This window comes from Homo sapiens, chromosome 3, assembly GCF_000001405.40.
Source record: "Homo sapiens chromosome 3, GRCh38.p14 Primary Assembly".
Lineage (NCBI taxonomy): Eukaryota > Metazoa > Chordata > Mammalia > Primates > Hominidae > Homo > Homo sapiens.
Window position 1 is genome coordinate 27410620 of NC_000003.12, and position 17025 is coordinate 27427644.

At 35.6% G+C, this 17025-nt stretch overlaps 1 protein-coding gene across 27 annotated transcripts in view; it reads right to left on the minus strand.

The window, feature by feature from the left end:
- The window catches only part of SLC4A7 (solute carrier family 4 member 7), a 111662-nt gene that overhangs the window by 37897 nt on the left and 56740 nt on the right, over positions 1-17025 (minus strand). For 25 of the 27 annotated variants that reach the window (NR_135541.2, NR_135544.2, NR_135543.2 and 22 more), the window contains 5 exons: positions 13418-13533; positions 11003-11160; positions 10081-10168; positions 7867-8013; positions 1023-1129 (listed from right to left, as the gene is read on the minus strand). Coding sequence is in view for 23 of the 27 variants with exons in the window: in XM_017007527.3 (XP_016863016.1) it covers positions 1023-1129; positions 7867-8013; positions 10081-10168; positions 11003-11160; positions 13418-13533 (616 nt within the window). In the remaining 4 variants the exon portion in view is untranslated. The remainder of the gene's footprint in view (positions 1-1022; positions 1130-7866; positions 8014-10080; positions 10169-11002; positions 11161-13417; positions 13534-17025) is intronic. The other 2 variants (XM_017007529.1, XM_017007528.1) reach the window with 1 other exon arrangement.

Below are 17025 nucleotides of genomic sequence, written 5' to 3' on the forward strand. Positions count from 1 at the left end.
AATTGATAATTACTTAATAGAGGGCATACAGATGCTCTCAGGTGACTGAGATCAGTGGAGGCCTGACACAGTGCTTCTCAATGACTAACCCTATCCCAGTATGAAGAAGCGATAATAGCTAATAATACAACAGTACTGTTCACACAGGGTCAAAATCTTTTCTCTATTGTATTCACAGAGACAAAAACACTTCATTAGTCAATGAATTAATTGTGAATTTCAGTTTCTCTAAAGTCTATATTCAGTATGCCAGTTACTTATTTTTATGATATAGTACCCTTTAAGGATGTCATCAAAATCCCTAAGATTGTATCTGTATAAGATTCCCTGTTTTTTTTACACAAAGATTTAATATTTAAGATTATTTAATTCCATACTGACCACCAGTGGACAATAAAGAATCAATAGCCACATGCTTTTCCACATTATGAAAATACTATAACATTTATCTACTTCTACAAAATATTAAGGCAATGTTTGCATCTGCCAATATTTCTATTTTTTGTTACAAAAATTAACTTCTTAAACAATTTTTCTAGCTAGGTTTCCAGAGAGCAATACAATGGTTTAATCATGCTTGTCCATGGAAGATTACCTCATGATATAATGCTCATTTAAGAGTTTTAAATCTGTGCACATATACAAAGAAATTATTAGTTGTAATTACTCTCTGTTCCCATAATTCTCTAACTCAATATGAAGAATTATAATAAGACTCTACACCTTCTTCAAGAACCTTCTGTATAAGCAATGGAAATTAACCTACACACTATATAACTGCAATATTCTGAATATACAGTCCATTATTTTCCTTTTAAAGCTTGATACATACTATTAAAATTATTTATAAATTCTTATATATTTATACATATAAATTTTCCTTATATATAATAATGCACATTTTTATACATATGAAAAAATACTGTACAAGATTAGGTTCCAAACACTTGGAAAAAATATAATATTTATGTTTTCATCAAATCATCCCCCAAACCCTTCAAAATATCAGTATTTGCACCCACCGTCCAGTCCTCTGTAGCTCAGGCCCAGCATGATGAGCGGCCTCTTTAGGAGTCTCACCCAGTGTGGGGGTAGATCCATTGTGAAACACAGGAATCTTTCTCTTTTCCTGAATTTCACAAAAAACATTATTTTCAGAATTCTATTTTAAGAAAACTTGAGATGGCATCTTCAATTAGAGTGAATATCAGATTTTATATTGATTATGTATCTAATCAGTTCTCCTAGAAAAGAATGGTTCCTAAAATAAACTCTCTTCTGAAATAGATTGCTCTTTAAAAATAGAAGCTAATGTCAGTTTCTATTAATATTTTAAATTTGCAATTAGCTTTTTGCATCTTATGTTCTAATTATCAATATACTATAAAATATATTCATACATACCATTTCAAATTCCTATTCACCAATAGCTACAAACGTAAGTAACCTCCAAAAAAGCATCTCTCCCACCAAAACTTTAAAAATACTGCTCCTATTAACTATTGAAAATTACGCTTTACATTAAGAGAAAAGCAAATGTCATTTTTCTTCTACTAAAGTATTTCCCTTAAAAAATAAGAGCTGTTTGATAAACATGTTCCCACAAAAATCCACTTCCCATTACATTTTATTACAAATTCAAGAGTACTATTCACATGATACAGGATTTCTCCCCCTCTGTTAAAGACAAAGAAATGAACTTTTAACTTGTTACATCAAGAGATGCTGGGGCTAAAAATATGTGTGAGCATGTGCACATACAAGAGGAAAGATGGTAGGAAAGATGGAAGAAAAGGAAACAGAGAGGTAAAGGGAAAGGGAGACAGAGATCTGACATCCCAGGAGGTTTACTGGGTCAAAGGCTCTAGGTGAATAAAAGACTTAAGCTACCTGGTTTACATGCTCCATATTTAGAGAGTAGCAAGGCTCATCTACAAATATAAGACTGCCATTTGAAAACGTCAAAATCTCACTTACAAAATTTCAATTTTCAAACTTACATCTTAAAGAGGAAAGGGATAAAATTTTAGACTCCTAGGAAACAAAAATAATTTTAAAAACTACAAATTATAAAAGTAATTGTGGTTTTGGCTATTATTTTTAATTTAATTAATCATTTAACTGATTTAATCATTTAATTGAATTGATTAAAAATAATGGCCAAAGCCACAATTACTTTTGTGCCAACCTAATAAAACCCATGAGACCCAGCCAAAGCACATTCAAGAAAATTAAGCAATTATATTAAGAGAAATGAAACAAGGAAAAAAAAGTGAATTAAACAACTTCCTCAGAAAATGTGAAAACAAAAAATCTTTCCTGGAAGAAAGTGAAAGGAATGAAATAAAACAGCTAACAGCAGAAACTAAGATACAAAATAAAATGCATTTTTTAAAAGTACTAAAATAACTTTTAAAGACTGCTGTTTGAAAAATACAATAGACCTTCAGCTAATAACAAAACAAAAAAAGGAAAGAGGCAATAATTTCATAGTGAGCACATTTTATATACATACACAAATACATACTACATATAACTCCATGCAAATAAATTTGAAACCTAGATGAAACTGGTAATATACTAGGAAAATGATTTACCAAAACTGACATCAGAAAAAACAGGAAGTTTTACATATACCAATTTCCAAAGAAGAAATAAGCTAATTGTTGAAGTCTACATGACAAAAGATTCAAGCTCAAAAAACTTTACAAAGGAATTCTTCCAAACTTTTAAAATCAAATTATTCCACACCATTTAAAACTGTTTAACAAAAATGAAAACTTACAAACTTGTTTATGAAACAAGTATATTGATGTGAAGTATAAAATGTGAAGATGGCACAAAAATCTATAAACCAATCTACAGTAATACAAACTAGTAGACACAGACCACTACCACTTTAAAGTCCAAACTGGGTTGACTCCAGGAATTCTTTCATATTCAAAAATCTATTCATATGATTTACCATAATAATTGATAAATAAAATTAATATAATCATTTGCCAGAGATGCTGAAAAGGCATTTGATAAAATTCTACATCAATTTATATTTTAAATGTCAATAAAAAAGAAATAATGTTACTTTCTTAACATGATGAAATGTATATTTTGGCTCCAATGTCATTATCTTACTTAATGGGAGAAATACTAGAGACATTTGACTACAGTGAGAAACAAGTTTAAAAATGCCTATTTAAAGCCCATGCTACTTAACACTGTACTAGAGATTTTAGTTAATACAATTAGACAACAGAAAACAATTACATGTATAAGATTTAGAAAAGGAGGAATAATACTATCTCTTACTTACAGATTATTTGACTGAAAAACTATTACAAACAATTAAGGATGGTAGCAGGATTAAAAATACACAGTTGAGGCCAGGCGTGGTGGCTCACACTTGTAATCCCAGCACTTTGGGAGACCGAGGCAGGTGGATCACCTGAGGTCAGGAGTTCAAGACCAGCCTGGCCAACATGGTGAAACCCCATCTCTATTAAAAATACAAAAATTAGCCGGACATGGTGGTAGGCGCCTGTAATCCCACCTACTCGGGAGGCTGAGGCAGGAGAATCACCTGAACCCGGGAGGCAGAGGTTGCAGTGAACTGAGATCTTGCCATTGCACTCCAGCCTGGGTGGCAAGAGCGAAGCTCCATCTCAAAAAAAATAATAAAATACACAGTTGACTCTTGAATAAACAAGGGAGTTGGTACCAACTCCCATGCAGTTGAAATTTTGTGTATAACTCCCTGAAACTCAATCTAATAAGCCTACTGTTGACTGGAAAGCCTTACTGGTAACATGAACAGTCGAACATATATTTGGCATGTTAGAGGTGTTATATCCTATATTTTCACAATACAGTAAGCTAGCGAAAAGAAAATATTAATGGAAATACATCATAATTTCTATTTCACTTTATTTCATTTCTCTAAAAATGTGGACAGTACCAATCCTTGTTTCCTTCAGTACCCAAACCATAGAAGGATCCATGTTGCAAAAGAAGTCAAAAGCAATCCTGAATAATCAGAACCCTTCTGCCAGATCAGCTGATATCAATTTGTTTTCTGGCACTACTACTTCTATATCTTTGTCCTCATCACCAGTACCGGTTAAGCACTCATCTCCATCAAGTTGTGTTCTGTTAACTCCTCTGATGTGGTGTTTACTAGTTTTTGAGCTTCTCCAAGATCCACATCTTGAAACCCTTCAACCTCCACCTTTTTTGCCATATACACAATTTCCTTGAGTGGCTCTGCTGTAAAACCTGTTAAGTCATGCACAACATCTGGACAGTTTTCTCCAAGAAGGAATTTATTGTTTCAGGCTCGATAACGTTCCTGGCTTTTTCTATAATAATGATGGTGCCTTCAACGGTGTAATCCTTGCAGACTTTCATGATGTCCTTGCTTTCCAAGGTTCTCTTCCACAGCATTAATAATCTTTTCTACATAGCATCTAATGTATCAAGACTTAAAGGTTCTCAGCCCCCTAATCTAGAGACTGAATTAGAGACATTGTGCTTGGGTGCAAGTAGACCACTTCGACACCTTTGGTGCTGAACTCACAGGTTTTGGGTGGCCAGATGCATTGTCTAATATCAAAAAGATTTTAAAAGGCAGTCCCTTACTGGCAAGGTACTTCCTGACTTCAGGAACAATGCACTGATGGGACCAATCCAGAAAAAGGGCTCTCATCCAGGCCTTCTCATATAACAAAAAGACTGGAAGCTGGCATTTATCTTTTCCCTTCAAAGCTCAGCATTAGCAGCTTTATAGAGAAGGGTAGTCAAGACCATAAATTGGACTGCATTTGCACAAAACAGTTAGCTAACCCTTCCTGCATTAAATCCTGGTGCTCACTAATCTTTCTTACTAATAAATGTCTTCTGTAGCATTATTTCCAGAACAGAGTATTTTCATCTGCATTAAAAACCCGTTCAGGGGATTTTCTTAACAGGATCTGATCTGGGAACTCATCTGCTGCCTCCTGGATGGCAGAAGCTGCTTCTCCAGTTATTTTGACATTTTTTAAGCCAAACTTCTTTCTAAAATTACCAAACAATCTTTGCTGGCACTAAATTATCCGATCCTTCGCTTTTCTTTTGCTTTATGTTGTCGTAAAATGACTGCTTTTTCTTGGTCGTATCAGAATCTATAGGTATGTCTTTCTTATAGTAATCTGCACCCACATAAAAGCTGCATTTTCAATATGAGATAAAAAGGCATTTTGCAAAAAAGCAAAAGTGTTCATGCCTGCTGGCATAGCTACAGTGACGACTTTACGTTTCCTTTTCTTTTTACAATGATCCTTACGCTGGATTCATTTATCTTGAAATGACAGGCAATGGCAGACTTCATTCTATGGTACATACCAAGAATTCAACTTCATCTTACATTTGTATGACTTTTCTCTTTTTCTTAGGAACACTTACTAGTATCACCAACAGGACTTCCTATGAGTCCCATGTTGTTACTCAAAAGTTTACAGTATTGCAGTAAACATGATGAAAAATATATGAGAACCTCATGATCACTTTTTAGGGTAAACACAATTTACTGGAGAGACAAACTGCTGATGTGGAGACGATGAGCAACACACAGCATTTTACGCATGTTAACTTGCAACACTTGAGCTCACTGCAATAGCAACAGGTAGTAACTATGAAATTACAATGACAGTGGTATGGTATTTACTATAGTTAATTTTATGCAGTTAGGATTTAATACTGCATCTTTACTTTTATTTACATTTCTCTCCACTGAGAATGGTGCCATGTACACTCTTAGTGTGTATAAGTTTTTGATAAATTTTAGCTTTTTAGAATAGATTTGTATATATCTTATGGTAATAAATTATTATTAAAGAAGACTAGTACATACATATATTTTATGCATTCAGGAATACCTAATTAATCTTAATTTTTTGATATTTCTAGGCTATGAAGTTTGCATGCAAATTTTTTCAAATTATCAAAAAACTTTCCAATGTTTATTGAAAAACTCCACATAATTAGAACTGCACAGTTCAAACTCATATTGTTCAAGGGTCAACTGTGTATGTATATATGCACATAAAAAATAACAAATAGCCTTCATTTCATATAAAAGCAACAAAGATACAATACTCATGAATATACTCACCAAGAAACATGTAAATTATAAGGAAAACTTGACAACATTCTTTAAGAATACAAAAACTTGCTTGAAATAGAAAATCAACTGGTGAGAGACACTCCATGTTTTTGAATAGAAAGACTCAAACTCATGAAGACGTCAGTTCTCCCTCAGTTGAATGAGAAATTTGTCATCACAACTTTTTAAAAACCATTACGCATATTTCTGAATATAGAAAGCTGATTTTAAAGCCTACACAGAAAGATAAATATGCAAGATAGCCAAGAAAATTCAGAAAAACAAGAGTAAGAAAGAGAGCAAGAACAAGTCTAGACCTACCAGACATTAAAATATACCAAAAAGCCTCAAAAATTGGAGTGTGGAATTGGTCCACGAATAGACAGACCAATGGACAACAAAACAAAGTCCAAAACAGGCCTGAATACAAATGGAATTTTAGCTAATAAAGGCAGCATCACCAACCAAGGGGAGCAATGTTTAGCTCTTAATGAACAGGGAGAACCAGGCAGGAACTTAGAAAAAAGATGAAGCTGGGTCCATACTCACATAAAATACGCTATCATAACCTCCAAAGGATCAATGAACAATTTAAATGTTAAAAAAAATAAAATGTAATGGGAAGTGGATTTTTGGTGGTGGGGCAATGAACAAAAGATAATCAGGAATATTCAACCTCACTAATTATACAAATGCAAATTAAAACCTCATTAAAAGGCCGGAAGCAGTGGCTCACACCTGTAATCCTAGAACTTTGGGAGGCTGAAGCAAGAGGATCACTAGAGTCCAGGAGTTTGAGACCAGCCTGCACAACAAAGTGAGACAGCATATCTACAAAGTATCAAAAAATTAGCTGGGGCTGGTAGTGCACACCTGTGGTCCAGGCTACATAGAAGGCTAAGGCAGGAAGTTTGCTTGAGCCCAGGAAACTGAGGCTGCAGTAAGCCATGTTCATGACATTGCCCTCCAGCCTGGGTGACAGAGCAAGACCCTGTCTCATAAAAACTCAATTAAAAACCTCATTAAAATACTTAAAATAGGAAGATAAAGATACCTATTAGATTGACAAATATCCAAAAGTCTGGCAACACACACTGTCGGTGAGGATGCAGGGAAATAGGCCCTTTCATACATCACTGCAGGAGTCCAAAACACTCCAGCTGATGGAGGGAATTCTGGTAATATCTACTAAAATTATAAATAAATTCCCCTTTGACCCAGCAATCCTATTACTGGGGATCTATTCTACAGATACATCTGCAAAAGACTAAAATGACATGTGATATTGTCATGCATGGTTTGAAATAGCAAAAGACTGGTAACATCAGAACCCAGGAATAGAATAAATTATGGTACATCCATGCATAGAATACAACAAAGCTGTGAAAAAGAGAATAAGGAATATTTTCATGATTTCTTATGTCAGATCTCCTAGATACAACTTTTATATGAAAAAAGCAAGGTACAGAACGGTATATGCAATACACTAACTTTTGGTGACAGAAACAAGACTACATGTTCATAGTTTCAAGTACTGAATGAAAAATGAAAAGGATAAACAAAAAACTAGTAAAAAATGGTCCACCCACAGGAGGTAAGTATGGGGGTAAGAAGGTAAACAGGACGAGGTGGGGATAAAACTTCTCTGTTTTGGTTTTTGAATCACACCTAATCAAAAAAAATTTTATTAAAATAAAGTAAGTCACAGAAGAATAGCTCTGGATTCTTACCTGAGAAGGGACACTTTTTGGTGGTTCTATGCGTATAGAAGGATCCCACTCTCCTGGAGGTAGGACAGTTACTTGATCTAAAAATTCATCAATTCCAGATAAGAGGTCATTTCTGTCTTTTGCTTTATAAGCTACATCATGGAAAATCTAAGTGAAAAAAATATTGAGTAAAAGATTTTAAAGTTGAAAAAAATTTCTACACATAGTAAATCCACTCTGGATATCATAAATAGCTTCACAATAAAGATAACCCCTAAACTCTTATCTCAGGCAGGTATTCAGCCCAGCCTGGGTAACAACTATAAAAGGTAATCCACTCAGTATTATCAGATGAATTAACAATAACAAACAATGAAAGAGAACAGTTACATGTTAAGACAGAACAATTTTTTAAAAATAAAATTTTGCCTGGGAAATAGTAATTGATTAGAAAATAAAACACTGTAGCGTGTCATTCTACTTCTATGACATTTAAATGTCATTTATCCTAAGAAAATAATCATGGATATGCAAACAACTTTACTTAAATAATTTATTTAATGACCAATATTTACTGGCTACCTACTAACTGCTAAAATACAATTCTAAGCATTGTGGATAATGCAATGGTGACAGGTAAGGCAAGGTCCCTATACTCAAGAACCTTTTTTTCTAGGAGGAAAAACAGTGAAACGCGTTATTAAATAAATAAATAATTATAGGTATTGATAGACGCTCTGATAAAAAGAAAGTAGGGTACAGAAAGGGAAACTGATGGGAAAGAACAAAGGAGCCAGGAAAATTCTCTTAAAGGAGGTAACTGACCAGGCACGGTGGCTCATGCCTGTAATTCCCGCACTTTGGGAGGCCGAGGCAGGCGGATCGCCTGATGTCAGGAGTTTGAGACCAGCCTTGCCAACATGGTGACACCCCATCTCTACTAAAACTACAAAATTAGCCAGGTGTGGTGGCGTATGCCTGTAATCCCAGCTACTCAAGAGGCTGAGGCAGGAGAACTGTGCCACCACACCCAGCTAATTTTTGTATTTTTAGTAGAGATGGGGTTTCACCACGTAGGCCAGGCTGGTCTCAAACTCCCGACCTCAAGTGATCCACCCACCTCGGCCTCCCAAAGTGCTGGGATTACAGGAGTGAGCCACTGCGCCCGGCCAAAAGTTTAAATTTAAATTTCACTATATGATAGGAAGTCATTAATATCTTTGGACTAAGGAAATGATACATTCAAATTTGCATGTTACTGAGAGTGTAGAGAAAAATACTATACAATAAATACTCATAAAGGCTACTTGAATCAACAAATAAAAGGCTAAGCCAGAGAAATGGCAGTAGAGATGGAAAGAATATGACAGATTAAATGCAAAACACATTGAAGAGGTAAAAAGAATCTGGTGACTGGCTGGTTGAAAGAGGACAGAAAAATGTGACAGGCGCGGTGGCTCACGCCTGTAATCCCAGCACTTTGGGAGGCCGAGGCGGGCAGATCACAAGGTCAGGAGATTGAGACCATCCTGGCCAACACGGTGAAACCCCGTCTCTACTAAAAATACAGAAAAATTAGCTGGGCATGGTGGGGTGCACCTGTAGTCCCAGCTACTCGGGAGGCTGAGGCAGGAGAATTGCAGTGAGCCGAGATTGCACCACTGCACTCCAGCCTGGCAACAGAGTGAGACTCTGTCTCAAAAAAAAAAAGAAAAGAAAAGAAAAAGAAAAAGAAAAATTAGGTCAGGTTCAGATATGGGGCATTTCAAATACCCTTGGGACACACAGCACTGATGTTTGGCAAGAATCTGATTACAAATCTCTCTTCAAAAGAAAGACAAGGTCCTGATTAGTATGTAGGTTATCGTCAAAGATCGGGACCCCATATCAGAGAAATTTACAGGAAAAAAAATGTTCTGAGGAAAACCTAGAGAAATGATATGCTGAAATCTAGGATAAAAAAAATCCCAAAATTTCGAAAGTTCAAGAAGGTAGTCAATAATTACAAATGTTTAAAACAAAAAAAAATTTTTAAATACCCACTGATCTTGATATAAAGGTCTTAAAAACCTAACCGAAGGCAAATAGGAGAAGCAAATATGAGATAAAACAGTATACACAGCAAGGAAAAGTTTTAGAGCTTCACTATGAAAGAAAAGAGAACTGTAATCTAATATATACTATATGCTGCATAATTAGTGTCTACTTCAAAGAGACTTGGAGTATTCTGATTACCTCATCTGTCATGAGAGTGGCTATTGATCGTCCAATTTCATGGTACTGTGGTGCCTTGCCCGCTGGACCCAATAACAAAAACAAAAACCTAAGGAAATATGAAAATACAGATTTTAAAATAAACATCATACACCCACAAAGCTAGGCAATCATAAAAAAGAAACCATTCAAATATAAACAAAGAAACAACACTCAGACATCTTTTCTACTCCCCCACACCAATCACTGAAAAAAGATGGCAACTCCACCCGGACTAAAGGAAATCAGAAAACTAGGAAAAGCAACCATAATTAACTACCAAATCAACCTTCTACCAAACTCCTGACCTCAGGTGATCCACCCACCTTGGCCTCCCAAAGTGCTGGAATTACAGCAGTGAGCCACTGTGCCCAGCCGATATTTATTTTATTGTACTTTTTAGTTCCAGGAAGAAAATGATTTTATGCCCTATTCACAGGAGTCTTATATTCAAAGTATTTGGTACAGTGGCTGAATATTAACTATTAAAATGAGATTTTGGCTGGGCACAGTGGCTCACGTCTGTAATCCCAATACTTTGGGAGGCCAAGACAGGCAGATCACTTAAGTAGGAGTTCGAGACCAGATGGGACAATGGCAAAACACCATATCTACTACAAATATAAAACTTAGCTAGGCATGGTGCTGCACACCTGTGATCCAGACTACTAGGGAGGCTAAGGCAGGAAAATCGCATGAACCTGGGAGGTGGAGGTTGCAGTGAGCTGAAATTGTGCCACTGCACTCCAGCCTGGATGACAAAGTGAGATTGTCTCAAAAATAAGATAAAATTAAATAAAATAAGCTTTTATTACATAAATCAACATGCTTGTTCATTCGCTGGATTAAAAACTTGTAGATTTTGAAAATGCTTAGAGAATGTTACTTGGAACTAACTCTTTACCTGGTTGGAACAGGGACCTCAGTCAACCCTGTAAGGAGGACAGCAGGAGCCAGTCTCACAAATGCAATTATTGGCCTTTCCAAAAAGTCTACTTCGCCCACCAGGACGTTGGATGCCTCAGCACCCGTAGGAATTTTTCTCATGAAATTCATATCAACCTATTGACAAATAAATAATTAAAAATAAAGTTTCCGTGGTATTTGTAAGACTAGAGAGAAACAGGAAAGAAAAACTGCTTTATAAGACTACTATTTGCTAATCAAAACTTGTGATCTAATGAATGTTTAAAATGTCAAAATTTTCACAAATATAAAGAATGGAGTAGACATACAAAAAAGCAAGCAAACTTATTTGAATCAATGCTACTGTTTTAACTGTCACAATCTTTATCAAACATGAACTTGAGAAATTTTTCAATGAATACTGCACTATTCATTAAAAACTATTAAGGACAAATATGTAGTTCACAAACTAACAATGGTTCATGAAATTATACACAGTGCTAAAAAATATTCATGGTTTTATATTACTTAACCTTAGAAAACCTTTACATTTTATGTAAAGTCCCCCTAAAAACAAACCAAAAAATTACTCTGGGCATTTCCCAGTCTTTTCATTAACTGGAAAAAAAATCATTACTTTTATTTCATTAGTAGTATTTTTGAGACAAGGTCTTACTCTATTGCCCAGGCTGGAGTGCAGTGGCAGGAACATAGCTCACTGTAAACCTCAAAATCCTGGACTTAAGCAATCCTTGCACCTTGGCCTCCCGAGTAGCTGAGACTACAGGCATGCGCTACCACGCCTGGCTAATTTTTGTTGTTTTTTTGTAGAGGTGGGGGGCTTGCTATATTGCCCAGGCTGGTCTTGAACTCCTGGCCAAGTGATTCTCTTGCCTCAGCCTCCCAAAACACAGGGATTACAGGCATGAATTACTATGCCTGGCCCCTTGTTTTTATTTAAAACAAAAATCTATAGCCCTTATTGGCACAGATATATGATAATGCTATAATAGTAAAATTTAGCTTTCTGTGTATAATTACAAGGAAAAGGTTACACATGATACCAAATTATGTGAACTTCATTTATATGCAGTTTCACACAAGTCACTAAACAACCACTTACAGGGCTATCTATGAAAAGTAAAACCAGCACTTACAGCGGGCCTCTTGAGTCCCACACCCAGTGTGCCACAACTACAGTGCCAGGAGGCAGACTCCTGCCCAACAGGAGACAAGGAAGTATACACAAAGATAGGCCAAGTAAAAAAAAGTAAGACTGTGACAGAGGAACAAAAATAAACGGCAACTGCCATGCCTAGAGGAACTCTATAATGTAAATTATATTAATTTATTCATTTAACAAGAAATAAATTGCAATTTTGTTACTAAGTACTTTGCACTATCTGAAATAACATGAGCACCAGTAAAATGTGATCAGGATAGATCAGAAAAATTTAAAATACAACAGCCTTTCTGCACAGCCAATGTCCGTAATGCTAGGCTTCCTATAGTTTTAGACTACAACACTCAACAAAGCTATAATGCAAACCATTTAAACTCCTTTTCTGTAAAATATATCTTGTAGACTTTTCATCAAAGACTAAAAGGCTTAAGAAATGAAATCAGCTTGACATAATTACATTTATTAAAAAGTCTTATACTGGATACAAAAATATTAAAATACCATGAGCATCTGGTATTTTACTATAGCAAATTAATACTACTAAAAAATTAGTGGCTAGATAGAATCAATTGTTCATAAGAAATACTCATAAAGTACATTTTACATTCAGTTACAATTTGAACTTAGTAGTCTTTTGCCCTGTTCTTTTAAATTAAGGTTTATCTATTTCAACAAAATACTCATTTACCAAAATAAAAAAATCATAGTTCACATAGGTATTTTTTTGTAATCCATGCCTTTAACCTACCCATGGGGAAGCACCAATATATTTCTCAGTGACATTCCAAAAGTACTGACACCATAAGACAGTAATTCTGGGATCGCATTACAGCCCAGGAAAGACTGAATCATTAGTGCTGTAACATCACTCCCAGAATTAACGTTCTAGTGGTGGTAGCTCCAGAACAAATGACTGTAGTTCAAAAAGTACTGACGTTTCACGATATCTATGGGTAGGTATGGATGGAAATATCGTATTATTCACATATTCTTTTTCAGAATTTCTAACACTAGTAATGGTGTAAAGTTATTCAAGTACTCACAGGTTAACTGTAACCCTTCTCACAGTTTTTACCTTAAATTAACATATCACAGACATCACATGCAGGTTTGTAAGCACCAGTCTACTAAAAAATTACTATCATCAATGTTAATAATATTAGCCACAAATTACTACTTATTTCCTCAGTAAGAATAATTATGAGAATTTTCAGTTAATGATAGAATTACCTTGCTGAAGTCAACAGTACTATTTTCTCTGCTTCCACCACTTCCATTACCTTTAATTTCTCCACTTTTACTATTGTCCAAGTTTCCAGGAGCAGACTGGGGAGAGGCCAAAATACCTATGTTTAAAGACAAATTCCAAATTAGTAAGGAGAAAATTCACTTTGCAACCTGATTCTGCTCACATTCTGAAAGTGATGATTTATGAATATTATAAAAGCAAATGTGCAAGGTTAAAAAAAATAAGTGCCCGGTGTTAGTAACATACCAGCAAAACTAGAACAACATTTTAAGCAATACCAAAGCTATACATTTTAATATTTAAAATAATACAATTAGAATTTACAAAAATTGTGGCCTTTTGCAAAAAGAAATAAAACGTGAGTTGGTGTGAACCACAAAAGATGGAAGACCTGAGTCTGATTATCATTAAAAATACTTAGGGAATATACTTTTAATTATCATAAACATGTGAAATGCATGGAACTTAATGAAGCCTAGCTGTACTTAGCATGCTTTCAACAATAAATTCTCTGACAAACCCTAAGTGTAACTCAGAAAAAAGCTACACTAACTAAATGCAGATTGAATTAACATAATCTCCCATAATCAGAAGTTTCCTAAAGACTTTTCATTTTTCTTTGTTAACATTTATGTCTATAATACCTATTGTCATTACTCCTAAGAAATCCAACTTTAAAATATAACAAGCAAGTTTTTTGCAATGAAATTGGCAGAGTAAGAGTTTTATAACCAAAGGGATCTGTGTTTAAATTATGCACTCTCTGCCACTTTGTATCTATGTGACTGTAAGAAACTCACTCCATCTCTAAGAGTCAGACAAACTCATAAAAATAGCTTATTTGGATTAGAAATGATACTTGTTTGGATTTCAAAGGACAGACACATATTGAAGCATTAGTATATTCATTTCAAAAGTGACATTCAACACCAACATTTCGCAATAATAAAAACACAGCTTAATATGAGACTAATCATTAACACTATGAATTCTAATTCTGCAAAAAAGTTAAAATTTAAAAAATTTCAAATTCAGCCGGGTGCAGTGGCTCATGCCTGTAATCCCAGCACTCTGGGAGGCAGAGGTGGGTGGATCACCTGAGGTCAGGAGTTCAAGACCAGTCTGGCTAACATGGTGAAACCCCATCTCTACTAAAAATACAAAATAAGCCGGGCGTGATGGCGTGTGCCTGTAGTCCCAGCTATTTGGGAGGTTGAGGCAGGAGAATCGATTGAACCCAGGAGGCGGAGGTTGCAGTGAGCCAAGATTGCACCATTGCACTCCAGCCTGGGCAACGAGAGAGAAACTCCGTCCTAAAAAAAAAAAAAAAAAAAAAAAGGGCCAGGCGCTGTGGCTCACCCCTGTAATCCCAGCACTTTGGAAGGTCAAGGCGGACGGATCACCTGAGGCTGGGAGTTCGAGACCAGCCTGACCAACATGGAGAAACACCCTCTCTACTAAAACTACAAAATTAGCCTGGCGTGGTGGAGCATGCCTGTAATCCCAGCTACTCGGGAGGCTGAGGCAGGAGAATTGCTTGAACCCAGGAGGCAGAGGTTGCAGTGAGCCAAGATTGCACCATTGCACTCCAGCCTGGGCAACAAGAGCAAAACTCTGTCTCAAAAAAAAAAAAAAAAAAAAAAAAAAAAAATTTAAATTCAAGTACACTACACAGATTTCTACTACTAGGTTGGTGCAATTTCCTTTGCTCCAACCTAATATTAAATGCATCTCATTTTTTTCAAAACATCCAAGGTTTTCTAGTGCAAGAATATAGACTAATAATTCCTAAAACACTGAACATTATAGGAGGAAAAGGTACTGAAATACAACAGACTTTACTTTTTGTTTTAACTGTCCCATGCACAGCAACACATGGAAGTTCAGTTAAAATCTGTTTTGTGGTTAGATTCTATAAGCTCTGAAGATGTACTGGTAATCAAGTTCCAGAATTTAAAGTACATCAGATATACCTGACACATCTAAAGGAGTTTTCACTTTTGTAAAACAGAATATACTATAACCAATGAATACTGAAACTAAGTCATCTGGGTTTACGGCTTACGCTTTATGACAGAGACTGCTGTCATCGTCACTTCTCTGTAAATACCTAAACTACAATGTTGATGTGACGAAAAATCTTAATTTGCAATCTATTTAGCCATGTGCTCACTTTCTGGAAAAGTTAAACAATTCCGAAATACAAACGATTTCCCAAGCCTCAACTCATTTCTTACAACCTTAGCTTGGCACACCAAGAAGATTCCTCTTCTTTGACCTTTGTCCCTAAACTTCCAGAAGAGTCCCTTCCTTGCTCAAGAGATAAAAAGTTAACCAGTGTTTTTCAGTGACTTCCAACTACTTCCACACAAGAAAACTGAGAGTACCATTTGGCCCTGGTGGCAAACGCAGCTGAGCATTACATACTTCCAAAGGCTAAATGTATTCCACCTGTGTATATATATCATCAAAAGCATACATAACGCACAGTTTTCCAGAATAGTCCTAGCTGCCAGATATGAGGGAAAAAAGTGGAATGATGAGAAGACTCTAAGGAAAAGTAAGGATATGCCAGCAATGAGAAGAAGAAATAATGAAGAACTCAACATTGACAAAGTTAGCAGGTATAACCTGAAGTCACATGGCTAACCTGGTCATCTTGAAAACCTGTCCCTTTTTCAAAACTGGCACACTGGATGCATGCTACAGTTCTTCATCATTATGATTTGTGTAGTCTTTCCCAACCTCAGCTAAACTAAAACTGTTTTCTCAATCAGTAAAGTCTCCCTGCTCCTATAATAAATTCCTAGCATTCACAATGAGCAAATTACAAAAAAATAAAGCTATCATTAGCACAAACACAGAAGGACTATATTACTTTGCTTTAAGGAAAAAAATATATGTATAAGGAAATCAAAGATATCAGCATTTTCTTTAAATTTTTCTTTAAATTTCAAATTTTAAACTTTTCATTAAAAATTTGAAAGTGAGGTAGTTACAGCAATGGTGCCCAACTAGGAAAGATTATGACCCCCAAGGGACTTGTGACAATGTCTGGAGACATATTTGGTTGTCACAACTCGGGGGTGCTGCAGGCAGCTAGCCAAGGATATTGCTAAACATCCTATAAAGCACAGGACTACTCCCCTGCCACCCAATCACCCAGCCAAGAATCATCCAGCCTAAAATGTCAATAGTGCCAAGATTGAGAACCACTGAGTTAGAAAAAGGTATTTACAAGTACTAAAAATAAATTCACTTCTTTTTTTTTTTTTACTTTCCCTAGAGATGAGGGTCTCACTATGAACTCCTGGCCTCAAGTGATCCTCCCCTCTTGACCTTCTAAAGTGCTGAGATTACAGGCATGAGCTACCATGCCCAGCCACAAGTTTTATACATATTAATTTATACAATTTATAATTTTATACATATAACTTTTATACATATAATTATCTTCTAAAAAGTAACTAATGGGAAATACCACTTTTTTATTATAGGTATGCACAAATTATGACTCTATGACACAAAAATCCATGGTGTTAGTCGCTTGAGACATAATGATGCTGAGGCCACTTTCTTCCACTAAGAC